The sequence below is a fragment of the Homo sapiens genome, chromosome 12, assembly GCF_000001405.40.
Source record: "Homo sapiens chromosome 12, GRCh38.p14 Primary Assembly".
In the NCBI taxonomy this organism is placed as follows: Eukaryota; Metazoa; Chordata; class Mammalia; order Primates; family Hominidae; genus Homo; species Homo sapiens.
Genome location: NC_000012.12, coordinates 4,191,180 through 4,207,069, shown reverse-complemented (window position 1 = coordinate 4,207,069; position 15,890 = coordinate 4,191,180). Strand labels below are relative to the sequence as shown.

General features: G+C 46.3%; 1 long non-coding RNA gene across 1 annotated transcript in view, besides 4 other annotated features; it reads left to right on the top strand.

Moving 5' to 3' along the window:
* Window positions 900–1,810: an enhancer, noted in NCBI's record as "H3K27ac hESC enhancer chr12:4314426-4315336 (GRCh37/hg19 assembly coordinates)". NCBI's record gives its function as "activates a minimal SCP1, AML or CMV promoter by ChIP-STARR-seq in primed H9 embryonic stem cells {active_cell/tissue: H9 hESC(primed)}" and the evidence as "EXISTENCE:reporter gene assay evidence [ECO:0000049][PMID:30033119]".
* Window positions 2,753–3,047: a silencer, noted in NCBI's record as "tiled region #8601; HepG2 Repressive non-DNase unmatched - State 22:ReprW, and K562 Repressive non-DNase unmatched - State 21:Repr". NCBI's record gives its function as "represses a minimal TATA promoter and a strong SV40 promoter by Sharpr-MPRA in HepG2 and K562 cells {active_cell/tissue: HepG2 | K562}" and the evidence as "EXISTENCE:reporter gene assay evidence [ECO:0000049][PMID:27701403]".
* Window positions 3,104–15,890, top strand: part of LOC105369612 (uncharacterized) — a 30,940-nt gene continuing 18,153 nt past the window's right edge. Inside the window, exon 1 of the long non-coding RNA XR_931569.3 lies at window positions 3,104–3,333. This is a non-coding gene — a long non-coding RNA (uncharacterized LOC105369612). The remainder of the gene's footprint in view (window positions 3,334–15,890) is intronic.
* Window positions 4,036–4,937: an enhancer, noted in NCBI's record as "H3K4me1 hESC enhancer chr12:4311299-4312200 (GRCh37/hg19 assembly coordinates)". NCBI's record gives its function as "activates a minimal SCP1, AML or CMV promoter by ChIP-STARR-seq in primed H9 embryonic stem cells {active_cell/tissue: H9 hESC(primed)}" and the evidence as "EXISTENCE:reporter gene assay evidence [ECO:0000049][PMID:30033119]".
* Window positions 15,071–15,160: an enhancer, noted in NCBI's record as "active region_5822". NCBI's record gives its function as "activates an Ori minimal core promoter by ATAC-STARR-seq in GM12878 lymphoblastoid cells {active_cell/tissue: GM12878}" and the evidence as "EXISTENCE:reporter gene assay evidence [ECO:0000049][PMID:35858748]".

Below are 15,890 nucleotides of genomic sequence, written 5' to 3'. Positions count from 1 at the left end.
CATATAACAATATTATACAGATGTAATTATATATCTATATGTAATTAAAGTCAATAAATAGTAATCACAGCAACTATTTGGGACTTAGACCAAGATAAGGTTTGTCTTGAGGGGGGCAGTATTGTGTCACTGACTTTCTTTAGAACTTCAAACAGATGGTGATAATAAAAGTCAGACCCACTTGAGTTTCCCTAAGTTCCAAATCCCCTGTTGACGATGCACCCCTCCGCCCACCCCCCACCCACAAACTTAATTTTCTCCATGCGAGTGGCTGATACCTGGGAAACCTCCTCCTAAAGGAACAGGAGGACAAGCGTGATCTAGTGACAAGGCTTAGTCACCAGTGGGAGAGGTGAAGGTCTTAGCGCTGCACAGCCTCGCCTCTCCCACCAGTCACATGGCTGTCCCGGTCCAGCTTCCCCTGCACTCAGGTCTGAGTCTTGCAGGGTTGAGGGGGTGGTGACAGAAAGGGCTGTTGAGTCACCCTCTGAGATGTTTAGAGTATAATAATCTGCTTGAAGTTCAGACCATTGCCCAAAAGGAACAGGAGTCATTTTGCCCCCCACCATAGAACACCATTTGGCGGAGTGACCTGCCGTGTGTGGCAGTGCCCAGTGCCTAGCAGAGGGTGACTGGCAGGAGACAAAAGGCAAGGGACATAGCCCAAGTAGGAGCTGACGTGGTGGTGATCCCGCAGGCACTCCAGTAAAACACTGGATGCACCTGTAATTATACCGTGAAGTAAGATTTCTGTGGTCTTGCAACTAAATGAGAACTTTCCCAGACATGATCTTGTTTCCGCCTCCCAATAGTTCTGCAAGGTGGATACCGTCATTACCAGTCCTACTTTATGGTTTAGAAACTCAGATCCAGGAAGGATGGTCAACTCTCTGAAGATCCCAGAGCAAACCCTTGAACCCTGTTCTTTCTAAGCTTGCATTTTTCTCAGTGAATCTCATAAGCTTGAGCAGCAAAGAAGAAACCATGAAACGTGCACTAAAAATTCTGGTATTACGCGGCATGTGAATATGTAACTTCAGAAACCCGGAAGTGGAGAACTAAGGCCTCTTTTTAAATTCATTTTAAAAAACTGAGATAGTGGGCTGGGTGCAGTGGCTCACACCTGTAATCCCAGCACTTTGGGAGGCTGAGGCGATGGATCACCTGAGGTCGGGAGTTCGAGACCAGCCTGACCAACATGGAGAAACCCCATCTCTACTAAAAATACAAAAATTAGCCAGGTGTGGTGGTGCATGCCTGTAACCCCAGCTACTCGGGACGCTGAGGTAGGATAATCGCTTGAACCCGGGGCGGGGAGGTTGCAGTGAGCTGAGATGGCGCCACTGCACTCCAGCCTGGGAGACAAAGCCAGACTCCATCTCAAAACAAAACAAAACAAAACCCTGAGATATAACTTCACAGAGTAAAGTGCACAGTCCTCAATATGCAGCAGGTGACAGTAAGCCTCTAACCTCCACCTCGATCAAGATGTGGAACCGCCCCAGCTCCCTCACCCCTCAGCCATAACCCACCCTCTCCCACAGCAACCACTCCCCCTGATTCTATCTCAGAGATTAATCTTAAGATTTTCCCCGTCTTTTTTTGGCATTTAAAATACCAAACAACTTATCGGACTGACATTTTTCATATTAATCTATCTTTGTAAGTAACTGAGCAAAGTGGGCCACTCCAGCTCAGAGCCTTTGTCCTTGCTCTCCCACTGTTGGAATGAGGCTTCCCCAGAGAGCCCCATGCTGTATTCCCCACCTCTGTCAGCTCCTTGTTCAAATCCCTTCTTTCCAGCAAGGCCTCCCCTGAACAGACTATTTAAAATTGCAAACCCCACTCCTGGCATTCCCAATTCTGCTGTCTACTTTGTTTGATACCACAATCCTCTGCACTTCCTGACATAGTCTAGGTTTTCCTTATTTGTTTATTCTCCATCTTCCCCAAGTAGAATGTAAGCTCCTTGAAGACAGAGCTGTTGGGCTCTTCTGGTCACAAACAGTTTTCCCTGTGTCCTCAAACGATAGCATCTGGCACTTAGTATCAGATCAGTCAATATTTGTTTAAGAAGTGAATACCACGTAGACTGACTTGATCAACTCAAGTAAATGACTCAAAACATAGTTTTAACACTTACTTCTCATTCAGGAAATTAAAAATGTAATTGCATACCTTTTATTGGGAATTATGAGCTCATTCTACAGTAGGTTACTATGACCTGCAAACGTGAAGACAGAAACTAAAGGAAAAATCAAGACCTTCGGAGTCAGAAGGAATCCCAGCCTCACTATTTCCAGCTATGTGAACTTGGGCAAATTAGTTTACCTCCATGAGCTTTAGTTTTCTTCTCAGCTGAAAATGGTCATAGCAATATCTATTTCAGAGGATAGTTGTGGGCATTACATAAAGCACGCTTCGATAAATAGAAATGTATTTATTACAGTGTTCTTGGAGTCATATCACACAGCTCAAAGCACAGCAAGGAAGCAGGTGCTGGTCCTCCCCCTGTAACTGCAACTATAAAGAGGGTGCCTTGTAAATGAGTGATTATCTTCCTGAAAGTTCCTTAAACCCACACTCATTGTCTGTGATTACAGCCCATATCACTGGGACAAGAGAAGAGTTAAGAGTGCTGCAGCCAAATGCCTGTGAGATACACCTGCCAATGGAAATTTTATGCAGAGTGGTGGCTGCAAGGAAGACCCAGCCACGTACCTTGAAGGTCCCTCCAGGTTTATCTTCAGGCCATGCAACACTTTATTGTTATCAGCTCCTTAGATTCAGGGTCTCCATGCTCGTCAACATGGCTAGATGGCCTGTAAGGTCTTTCTTTTTTCAAGACACTTAAGAGTTAGAGCAGGAAGGAGCAGGGCAGAGCCTTCTAAGCAGGTGCTTCTGCATGCCTGGAATCCCTCTGTGGCTTTATTCCTCAGTGTGGGTTCTCTTTTAGTCTGCAGGGACACCTGGGAAGTCAACAGTCATTTACATCTTAATGTGAATAAGGTTTTTTTTAAAGCTCCTTTTGCAAGAGCAAGTGAAATGAGGAAAGAGGGAAATAAGAAAGAGAAAAGAAGAAGTAACTGAGGAAAAGCTGCCAGCCATGAAGAAAACAGCTGATGAAAGGGGCTAAAGCTAGCTTCATTTCTTGCAGGTCTAGTTCTGAGTCTAGGGACAGAAGTTTTAGCTTTGGCTGGACACCCATAGCCCTCTGTGACCTGTCAGTATTTTTAACTTCACGATGACTCCTAAGTGGACTGCTGTCCACTGGCCACAACTTACTGAAACTTTCTCCATATTCAGCATTTATTAAGGACTGGAGGTTCCAAGGTAAGTCTGGAAGCAGAAGAAACTGCGTCCATAAATTGAAGCCAAACAAACAAAACACAGATTGAAGGGAGCAGTATTCCCATCCAGGGTATGTACTCTGTGTGAACTTAACCTACTGCTGCAGTCGCAGTTTCCTTGCAATTAGATTTCAGTGCAAATTAAGAAAAAAAAAGTTTTTAATCTATAGCTTATAACAATAATTGTACTGTGCAATCAAGTGTAATGTAATAAATACTTTTGACCAATAATTCATGATTTTATTTAATTAATTAATATATTTATTTATTATATGTTAAACATGGGGCAGGTGCCTGCTTCAGCAAGCAAGACAGACAAGACCCCTGCTTTCCTGGAATTTGAGGCTGGGGCAAGGGGATACAGATAGCAAACAACTAAATATAAATATGAACATTTTAGAAAGTAATAAATTCCATGAAGAAAATAAAAAGTACTGTGATGGGGAGGGCCTGTGTGTGATGAAGCAGGTCAGGAAAATCCTTTCTGGGAATATGACATTGGCGGCACTCAGACCTGAATTATGCGAATGGTGCAGACATGTATGCACGGGGGAAATAGCATGCACAAAGGCCCTGAGGCAGGAAGCAGCCTAGTTGGTGTCACTGAGGACTTGAAAGGTCAGTGTACTCAGGATCTAGAGAAGGAGGTGGGAAGTGGCAGAAGATGGGGTCAAACGGATGGGGCAAATTGTTAAGACCTTGTCAGCTATTAGTAAGAAGTGTCACAGACAACGAGATGAGATTAAGTGTTTTTAGAGCCAGGGAACAAAATGATGTTACTATTTCCTGGAGTATGTCCCAATTTCACAATGAGTTTGGAAAGAAAATATGTTCCAGTTTGCTGTTTCCTTTGTTTTAAAGATGTTTAGTAAATATCTGTTGAGTTAATGAACACATGGATGAATGAAGGAATTGATCGCAAGAGTGGGCAAAGTCAGAGTGGAAAAGGCATTGACCTCCACCTGAAGTTACACAAAGCAGTGGTACCGCTTGCTGGTTATGTGACCTTGGGCAATTCACACAACCCAGTTTTGAACCTCAACTTCCTCATTGGTAGGATGGGGTTATACCTCCCCGAGCTGCTCTCCAGAAGTGTGATGAGGATCAAATGAGAAAATGTGCAAAATGCATATACGAAGAGTAACGGATGACAATGGAGATGATCGTGACAACTTTTTTGGTGGCGTTAAGCCACAGTGGAGTCCCTTGATTTTAACCTGGAAGCCCCTGATATTGGTGAATTGTCTTAAAGTTTTGTTTGGAGCCTGTTGCACTCCTCAGTCCACACTGCTCTCAGTTGGGTAGTTTGCTGCCCTCTGTGTAAAGCGATGCTGCATTTATTTACTCCTTAAAGCCTCATGGGAGAGACCCCAGCTCCTGCGCACAATAAAAATCCCTCATCCTCGCCTTGGCACCAAACAGTAGACAAATGCTTGCAGAGATGTTATCTCCTTTTATCCTGGCAAGTCTGTAAAGGAGGCAGGTCAGGTTTGATTTCGCCCGCTAGAACTCCCCATCAACCCCGCTTCATTTCACGAGACTCACGTCCATAGTCTTTCTAGGTTGAAAAGCCTGAAACTTTCTGGTTTGTCCTCCTAGGGAGACTATTCCTAAGTAGGGTGATGGGATTATATTTCCTGGGAAAGAGTTTCTGTAAACTCTCCCTAATTACCCGCTGAGTTTAGCAACTTGTCAGGAAGCCCTTCTCTCTAATCTAAAACCTCTGGCTGTAATTGCAGCCCCTGACCCCTGGTTCTGCCTTCAGATGCAATCTGGAACAGCGTCGCCCCTGGCAGCAACATATCTGTATCAACTTACCTTGCAGGTTGTCGGTGGGGGGGAAGGAGACTTGGTGACCAGGGAACCTGAAGCCTAGCAGGATGTGGCCCCAGGGTGAGAGACCACTGAGGCTCCTTCGAAGGCTCATGGCGGTATTATATACTGCGTCCCTCTCAACTTCACCGCTTACTCCCCAAGCCACCAGGACCAGTGTTTAAGAACACGGCAAGCTTTCAATGCCAACAGTAGGGTCTGAACCGGAACTGATTTGCAGGGTAACTGTGAGTGGACCCCTCTGGATTCCTGCTAGTGCAGGGCTTCAGAAGGAGGAAGCTCAAAAGAGCCACTAAGTGAAGCATAGCCTGGGCTGGCATCTTGGGGCTGAGCGGTTTGCTCCCCAGGGTGTGTGGCAGTGCGGTGGCAGATCTCTCACTTACAAACTGTAAGGCAGGTGCTGCCCCTGTCTGAGTGTTGATGCTCTCATCTGCTGAATGGGGAAAGAATCATGGGTGATTTCGGAGGATTAAATCCACCTCTGCATGGTGCCTGGGCTCCCCTCCCTGCTATTGCTTTGGGTTCTGCCTCTCCAACTTCCAGCCAGAGTTGGGGTTTGGAGTAGATGGGCTCAGAAGACGAGGAAAGAAAGGCCTCTTAGATATCAAATGGCTCTCACAAACCAGACTTTGCTGAGCTCTTTTCAGTGAATCAGCCTCCCATGAGTTACATTACTCTTGAAATGCAGAAAGCTGTGAAAATCAAGGGAGAATATGCTGGAGGCAAATACTTTTTGGGATCTACCAGCTCAAGCTCCTGCAAAAAGTAAATCTACGAGAGATGCTGGACCAAACCCCATCCACTGCAGCTCAGTTGGCCTGTGGACATGCAGGGGAAAGGCAGGACTGCCTTCACCAGGAGCTCCCGGTGCCCCACACCCATGACTACCCAGCGTCAAGATGTACTAGGGGAGATGGGGTCCCACTGTGCAAAAGGGTCTACAACACGGTTCATCTAAATATACATCTGCCAAATGATCTAATTTCTTAAACATTGATTTATAACCTTGGTCAATAGAGATGCATTTGCATCCCTAATCAGGGGTCATGGCCTTAGTAATATTTAAGAGTTGTTTGTTTTTCTTGGTGCAGGTAGGCAGCGGACCTACCTTCAGCTCCTTCCTTCAAGGTTTCTTCAATGCATTTCCATTCCCTGAGCACACACTTATTTTGTGAGAGGTAGAATGGGGATGGAGAATGGACTAGAGGCCAGTGCTGAGGACAGGGGGGAGCGGAACTTGCATATACACAGAACAGGTGAGATGGTGTCTCAGGGCTGGGCAGATGGTTTACGTGTGCCGTGGAACCTTGGAGTGCGCGGGTGGAATTTACGGGAGGGCACCACGCTGCACCGCACGGCTCTCCATCTTGGTTGCTGTCCAGTGCGGCTCCCCGCATCTGCCCTCACTCATGAATGAGCACGTGGGATGACAGGAGTACCCTTTTCCCTAAAAGACTCCCTAATGGGGCCTAGGCTTTGCTGGGATATACAGATCACCGTGAAGTGACTTAAAGGCTTCATGGCTTGTCTACCGCAGTCCTTCCCCGTTCCTGTTTAGAATTGCTGGCACTCACCTCACGAGGCTCCCAGCACTCACATTTCCCCCACCCCATGCTTATGATAGATTCACTCACATGAAGAGTGTGGGGCAGGCATAGGGGAGGGGAGAATGTCTTTGGGAGTATTCAGAGAAAGCTTCCACACTGGGCGGGTGTTTAATTTACCTGCGAGTTCGTCCCGTCTTCCCCAGGCCAGCTTTTGGCCGTGTCCTGCCTGGTGGTAAGTTAAGGCTTTTGGATTTTGCTATAACAAAAGCAGTGCCTCCTTAAAGGAAGGAGCAAGGGCTATTTGAGGCAGCCCAGTGCACACCAGGGCGAGGATTTTGTAAACAACCCAGAGTCAGGAAGGACAGAGGCTGATGGATAACCACGCGTTAGGTTCCGAGTGGAATCTTGCACCCCTCCCTTTTCCTCCCCGCTTTCCTCACCTTCTCCTCCTCTGTGCATCCTTTGTTCCACGCTAGCCCAATCTGTGTCCCGTCCAGTGATTCAGGGAGCATAAGATGGTGTGAGAGCCCTTATAGGAGATTCAACCTCACGGGACCCCTTTCACCAGAGAGGCAAAGCCTGAACAATCTGTTATATGAAAGATGGAAAGACTGGCCTCTGCTCAGTGTGTTAGGAAGTGCTAAGAGAACATCATTTGCAAAGGGGATGAGAAACCCCTTTTATCTTGGCCTGTTTCTTTTAAGCAGTTCTTCCACTGTAAGTCTACTTACCTGGTAAAAAGTATACTGAATGCCCACTGCCTGCTTCCTGTCTATCTGCAAAAGGGAGGCTTCTTCTCACCTCACCCCTACTGAGTGTTCTATATTCTTGCAAATAATTGCGTGCCTACTGGTGCAGAAAATGGAAAACTGTAAGCTAGGGTGATGGCAAAAATTAATTTCATTTGACACCCATGGTAGAAAGAACAGAGCTGACCCACGTTTGTGTGGACAAGCATATCCTGAAAAGCTAGAAGGAAGCACGGTGGTGGAAGAACAGTCTTTGGCATCAGCCAGAACTGAGTTCTGATCCTGTCTCCATTACTTATAAAGCTGTATGCCTTTGGGCAAATGATCTTCTTTTTAAATATCTTCTTCGCATATTTGTTGTAAAGATTAAAAATAATGTATGTAATGGACCTGGAACATAATACATACTAAATAAATAATAATTAAGGCGATCTTGATTGAAGTTGTTTGCAACACATTCCTCAACCGGTTTTTACTATGTATGTGTTGTTAATTAATTCATTTAGGCAGCCAATCAGCAAATATTGATGTATAAGAAACATATATTGAACAACAACAATATTATGAGTAAGTAAAGAGTTATGCCAGGAACCCAAACTTGTAATTTTGGATGAAAACACTGACCTAGATGTAGACTAAACAGCAATCCTTTGATTCATACTATACAGGCCTCCACTGCATCCGGCGATGGCAAGGGCAAGTTGCAGGATGGAGGCGGCACCTGGTCATCCTCTTGGGGCAAAGCTCCGGTTAGCACCTCCATTTAGGGGTCATTTGTTTCAGCTACGCATCCAGTGCCCTCGAATAGTCTAAATGTCCTGAGAGCAGGAGCTCTCATGAAGCCACTGCTTACAATTCAATGGGTACTGACTGCTTGGAAAATCTGCTCTGTTGCTGAACAGAGAGGGGAGGGGAGAGAAGTGGGAAAGGACTCCCAGCTCTCACTGTGGGCCCTCTGCTTTCTGCTCTCAGATTCGCTCTGATTCGAGTAGTTTAGTACAAGGAGTGGGGTCCTGGCTTCCAGGCCTCCCTCTGCCCCTGACTTACCATGTTCCTCGGGGGAAGCCCCTCATCTTCTGAGCCTCAGTGTCCTGGGATGGAAGATGAAGGGGTTGGCAAGGTCATTGCTATGGGTTCTCATGCAACAAACATTCTGTGACTCACTTTCCATAGTTGATGTTCACGAAAGGTATGGTTTTGGACACTTACTAGTTGGACTTTTTCTACTATGGATTCCAGGATGCCAGAGGCTTCTAGATAATGAGTTCTTCGCAGGGAAGTGAACCTGTCGCTTTCAGGTCACGCCTTGGGTGTTAATCATGTAAACAAGGTCAGGAAGTCATGGCCTCTTAGCTTAGGGACTCAGTGCCACACAGTGGACCTACAGCTACTGAACCTGTCAGGCCTGAGCGGGGAGGAGTCGATTTCCTGCTTAAACATATGACGGTCTGCACCACCCGGTGATCTGTCTCTGTAGGCAGCTCCTAGGGAAGCCATAATTCACCTGTTGCTTCTCTCCACTTGTCTGCAGATCCCTGAAGATGTAGGAATTCAGTTATCACCTTATCCTTATCACTACAGTGACTAGATGGGATAAGCTAGTAGGAAGCTAGCTCCATAGCTGTGCCTCCATATAGCTTCATGCTTGCTCTTTAACTATTCATTGATTCCTAGCACACACCTGACTACGTGTGTGACTACGTGTCAGGTGTGTGCTAGGCATCGGCAATTCAATAGTGAGCAAAACCAGACACAGCCTCTGCTGTTACGGAGTTTACAGTCCAGCGGGAAGGCAGATATTAATAAAACACACAAACACTGAATCTAAGGAATGTGTAACTGCGAACTGGGGGAAGTGTTATGAAGGAGAGGGAACAGCTCCGTGAAAGTCTATGTGGCAGAGGCTGCCAGTTTCTTCCTCAATATCCAGTCTCCTCTCTTCTTTCCTCATTGGATCCCTATTTGGTTAGGGAGAAAAATGGGTCCAGCTAGAATGCTACATTTCTAAGCATCCCCTGGAGCAGCTGTTTAGCTCATTTGAGGTGAATAAGCTATAGTAAAATTCTTTTCTTTTTCTTTTTCTTTGAGACAGGGTCTCACTCTGTCACTCGGGCTGGAGTGCAGTGACATGATCACGGCTCACTGCAGCCTCAGACTCCCCAGGCTCAAGCAATCCTCCCGCCTCAGCCTCCCTAGTAGCTGGGACTACAGGCCTGTGCTACCATGCCTGGCTAATTTTTTTTTTTTAAGAGTAAAATTTCTGGAGCGGGACTTCTGGGGAAGCTCTCTAATAGGGAGTGAGTGCAATGCTGGCCAGGGCCCCAGGAAGGTGAGCCTGAGGAGGAGACCTCTGCACAGGGCCCGGGGTGGGCCTGCCCCCGCTGCCTACCTCTGGGCTGCTAGCCTCATGAGAGAAAGGAACTCCCCCACTGCCGCCTGGTGCCCCTACCCATTCTGGTTAAGCCACCATTGGGAAAGGAATCTTAATTGCTTAGAGATAAATGTAACTCCCAATTGATACAGTGTTTACATGGAAACCTGACCTACATGGAGGTGTGAGGGTAGGGTGGCGAGTACCAAGGAGGAGTGGGGGTAAGTAGCCAGGTGCTCGGGCAGAGGGCTGCAGGGTTTGGACAAGGGGTCAGCCTGGGTAGAGGCCCCATGGGGACAGCAAGCACAGCGCAGAACAGACACTGGAAGCCCAGTGCAGGGAGGATGCAGATTGGAGGGGAAGGGTGGTGTGGGATGGGGCTGGGAAGGGCTGGGCCCCCACCATGCAGGACTGGGCAGTCATGTTAGGGACTCTGGGCATTTTCTTGGGAGCAACAAGAAGACACTAATGAGTCAAAAGCAAAGGGGAGCATGATCAAAACATCACTTAGTGTCCATTTTCCTATGTGAGAAATGAATAATATTGCTTCTAGGAAAATGTCCCTAAATAATACTCAACTCTCAGATCTGCCATGAGGATTAAGATAACATATGTAAAACTACTTTAAAAAGGAAAGCATTACAAATTCAAGTCATTATGCTTTCTATTAATAACAAAATAAGAAAACTTTTTGGACCATCTCAGCTTTTAGTAACAAAAATTAAAAATTGTATTTATTACTTATTGAATACTGAGTACCAGATACTGTGCTACACAAATATGATCTATTTTTAAACGTCACAGCAATCTTTAAGATAGGTATTACTCTCCCCATTTTTCAAGTGAAGAAACTGAGAATTGAAAAGAACATGTAACTGTCCCCTAGTCACACAGCTAGCAAATGATAAAAGCTGGATTTGGACCTGGGCTGATTTCAGTTTTTTTTTTTTTCTTTTTTCCAAGATGGAGTCTCGCTCTGTCACCAGGCTGGACTGCAGTGGCGTGCTCTCGGCTCACTGCAACCTCTTCCTCCCGGGTTCAAGCAATTCTCCTGCCTCAGCCTCCCGAGTAGCTGAGATTACAGGCGCCTGCCACCACACCCAGCTAATTTTTGTATTTTTAATAGAGACGGGGTTTCACCATGTTGGCCAGGATGGTCTTGATCTCTTGACCTCGTGGATCCACCCGCCTCAGCCTCCCAAAGTGCTGGGATTACAAGTGTGAGCCACTGCACCCGGCCGGATTTCAAATTCTTAAGCAATGTGCCACACAGGCACCTGAGTCCCAGATCGCCACCTGGTCACGCTGCGTGTGACACTGTCATGCCTTCTGTGATCTGCATGCACAAGTTAACTTATTTTTCAATAGCAGGGCTGTGCTTTTCAGGTGGAACTGACATTGCTGGTGCACCTGTGAGGCCCTGGCTCTATGTGAAATTGTTTTTCTCACGTGATACTTTTTCACCTTTCCCTACCACTGCTTTTCTTTCCTTCCCAGCACTAAATGTCACTGTGATTATACTATGTCTACTTATTTATCAGTTTGTGGCTGGATGACCCAACTGGAAGGTGGGCTCCTTCAAGGCAGTCGTCTCCTCCTTCTTGTTTCCCTCCTGTGCTCTCCAGAGAGCACACTAGTGCCAGGCACAAGGTGGGCACACAGTATACACGGGTCAAATGGAGGAACAGACAAGGAGGACATGGGTTTGAAATCATTCACGCGCATGCTTTTATCTGTCTTCTTAAGCCTAATGGCCACATCTGTGGAAAGGGAGGGGTGAGAGGGACCCCTCAGACTGGAATATGCTCTGTGAAAGTGCTTTTCGTAAAGGGGAGGGAACACCAGAATTCTTTGTGTGGTTTTTCCAGAATAAATGGCCTGCCCAAGCCCTAACCCCAATTCTCCCCTCTCTTTCTCACCTCTCTTTCTTTTTTCTTTTTTGGGACAGAGTTTTGCTCTGTCACCCAGGCTGGAGTGCAATGGTGCGATCTCAGCTCACCACAACCTCGCCTCCTGGGTTCAAGCGATTCTCCTGCCTCAGCCTCCTGAGTAGCTGGGATTACAGGCATGAGCCACCATACCCGGCTAATTTTGTATTTTTAGTAGAGATGGGGTTTCTCCATGTTGGTCAGACTGGTCTCCAACTCCCGACCTCAGGTGATCTGCCCGCCTTGGCCTCCCACAGTGCTGGGATTACAGGCGTGAGCCACCGCGCCAGCCCTCACCTCTCTTTCTTCCTCCCCCATGGGTTTCTTACTCCTCCATGGGACTGGGGGGCTTTCCAAGGGCAGGGAGCGCATCTCGGTCATAGTTGGTGTCCCAGCCGCACTCGATGAGTGCACAGGAAATAGTGAATGACACCCATGGTCCTGGTGTCTTTAGCATGATGCTCCAACACCTGGGCCAACTGTGGCTCCAGGTACCGACCCATGAGGACCAAACCTGCTTATATCAAAGCTGGCTTAAAGGCACAGTCAGGTCAGGAAAGACGGAGTGCTCTCCAGGCTGGGTTGATAACTTCAGCTATGCAGGGCCAGGAGGAGAGGGAGGACTAGCAGGGAGGTGCGGAGGGGAGGAAAGCGGGGTCCGCCAGGGGGAAGGCTGCATGCATCCCAGGGTCCTGTCCATTGTTGTCACCCAGGAGTGACAGAAATTCTACCACATGTAACCCCCACTAATACATAGTTAGGGAGAAGTAGATGAGAAAGGTAAGGGATTGAAGCGGGATTCAAACTGGGTTTGGATTTCCCTTGTACTGCATAAGGAAAGTTTCTTGGCTCACCCAACCTCCAGTGCCTCCTCTGCAAAATGGAGACAGCAATACCTTTATTGAGTTGTTATGAAAATCAAATGAGATGATTTGTATAAAGAACAGAGCACTGTATCTGGGGCTTAGCTGCACTCAAAAAGTCCTTACTAAATTGCGTTACAAACTATAAAATTCTGTGCCAATGAAAGGGTTTATTATATAGACAGCAGGAGGCTACCCACGGACTGGGAAAGGACACCCTCCCCACTAGTCTCACTCCTCCTGCCCTACCCAGAAGCTTGACATTACAGCCTCTGGCCCTTTGGGAGCTCAGGTTTAAAGGCAGATTTTATCAGGTGGTGTTTAATGGCATTCATTTAAGTTATTAGCACCTCAACTCTAATCAGATTAACCTCTGCTGCAAAAGGAGTCTTGGGCCCGGAAATGTGAAGTGACGGAGAATGGTAGCGGTAGGGATGCACATGGTCCTTAACCCTTAGATGGCCGTGGAGGACCTGGAGAAGCTGTAAGCATGGCAGGCACTGCGTGTGGTTTGAAGAAGAAAGAGGACTTGAATATAGATGGAGCAACGTTGTCTTCGATGGGTGCTGATGCCGTGGGGATGAATAAACTATTGATTTATTTACTTTTTTATTTTAAAAAGCTTTTAGGCATTTACAGGGTCTTGCTCATCCTGTAATTTCTCAATCAAAAGATCTTAAAATGTTAGCTTCTCTCCTGGGAAGGGGGAGGGGAGATAGAGAGGAAAGACTTATATCTGTGTAAGAAGGTCTTTTTTTAAATTAATAGATTTTATTTTTTAGAGCAATGTTACACTTGCAGAAAAATTGAGCACAGAATACAAAGAGTTCCCATATACTACCAGTCACTTGCCTCAGTTTCCCCTATTATTAACATCTGGCATTGGTGTGATGCATTTGTTACAAATGATGAACCAATATCCATGCATTATTATCAACTAAAGTCCACAGGTCCACAGTTTGCATTAGAGTTCACTCTTTGTGTTGTACAGTCCTACAGGCTTTGCCTAATGCATAATGTTATGTACCCACCATTACAGTCTCATTCAGAAGAGTTTCACCGCCCTGAAAGTCACCATGATGTTAGGGGTCCTTATCCTCAGAGGCTGGAAACCACTGGGTTAGAGCTGGGGCCTTGTTTGGGGGAATGGATTTGCAAGAGAGCCACAGGTGGGGATGCAGCTCCTGGAGAAAGACACAGCCCAACTTGTGGGTACTTACAGGGCTGGAGCCTGGGCTGGTCTCAGCATTTGTGGGGTGAAAGAAATAGTTCTGTCCTCTTTTATTTTTCCTTTCCCCTGTCTCTCTTTTGTTAATACTTTTTCCTCTTCAGGTTTCAAATCTTTTGATAGGCCCTTTATAAAAGTCTTAGAGGTCCTTTGGCATTGGTTCTTAACCTTAAGTGTGCATTTGAAGTATATATAGCAGTTTAAAAAAATCATGGGTGTAGTGCCGCCCACCTCTAGTCCCAGCTACTCGGGAGGCCAAGGTGGGAAGATTGCTTGAAGCCAGGAGTTCAAGACCAGCCTGGATAACATAGTAAGACCCTGCCTCTACAAAAAAATTTTAAAAAAATTAGCTGAGCGTGGTGGTACACACCTGCAGTCCCAGCTACTAAGAAGGCTGAGGCGGGAGGATCGCTTGAGCCCAGGAGTTCGAGGCTGCAGTGAGCTATAATTGCACCACTGCATTCCAGCTTGGATGATGGAGTGAGACCCTATCTCTTCAAAAAAAAAAAAAAAAATCATCCTGATGCCTGGAACTAACCTTGGTTGAGTTAAATCAGATCTTCTGGAGATGAGACCCAGGCATAGATGCTTCTTCAGAATCTTCCCAGATGACCCTAATGGCAGCTAGTGTGGTAAGCCACTGTCCTAGCTAATGTTCCTGCAGTGACTTGGATTCTTGGAGGTGTTGAGGCCCAGACACCTGGGCCTTCTTCAAGGGTCCTACTGTAGGGCAAGAAGAGCTCACAGGTGTCTCTATTGTATAAGCAGTGACAGAGAGAGTATTTTGCATTCTCACACAGATTCACAGAGAGGCAGGTATAGCATGTTGAGGGCTACCTTACTAAAAAATACTGAAAAACCAGAAAAACCTGAATCTGCACTAATAGTAGATGATTACATAAAAATGATAGCTCCATGCTCAAGAACACGACACAGCGATATAAATGAAGTGAGACACGCCTGTAGGTATTGGCATGCAGGGTGATATTCAAAGTCTGCAACCAACCAGGTGCGGTGGCTCACACCTTTAATTCCAGTACTTGGGAGGCCAAGGCAAGGAGGATCGCTTGAACCCAGGGGTTCAAGACCAGCCTGGGCAACGAAGCAAGACTCCATCTCTATAAAAAATTAGCCAGGTATGGTGGTGCATGCCTGTAGTTGCAGCTACTCAGGAGGCTGAGGTGGGAGTATCATCTGAGCACAGGAGGTCAAGGCTGCAGTAAGCCATGATTGTGCCACTGCACTCTAACCTGGGTGACACAGTAAGACCCTGTGTCAAAAACAAAAACAACCCAAAGCCTGCAGCTCCTGCTTCAGCATGACCAGTCAGAACAGACACCTGAGCAGCAGAGCAGAACCTGGCCCCGCTGACGTACTGGTGCACACAGAGTGAAGATCAGCTTTGCTGACACATGAAAAAAATCTCCAGGGTGTTGTTAAGTGGAAAATGTCAGTACCAGAACAGCACAAGGAGTGTGATCCCCTTTAGGTAAATAAAAAACAAGCCCTAAAAATAGGTGTCCATATACATATTTGACAGTAAATGTAGAGAAAAACAATCCAGGAAGGAGAAGGATGCAAGTATGATGACCTCTCGGCTGGGAATTAGTTCTGGGAGTGGGTTGGAGGGGGCAAAAAGGCTCTGTAACATTTTGCTTTATTTAATTCTGTATTATTAAAAACTTTTTTAATGGTGAACACATGTTTATATATTGTAAGTGCAATGAAAAAATGAATAATTTTTTTACGAGAAGAAAAATGCCTGTGGGGGCCAAAGTTCCAGGCTGCAGTCTGGGTTTTGTCACTTATTAACACGGCTTGCACAGAGTCTTCTATAGCTCAGTTTTCCCATCCATGAAATGGGGATAACACTGTTTCATACTTCACATGGTTGCAGTAAAGTTGAGGTGAATGGAGATACATGATCTTGGGTATGGTTAAAAATGTGTAACTAGAGAGCGTGGAGAAGGTTAACTTATTCCACCAGATAAATGTGGAAAGAATTCACTTTTCAGCAATTC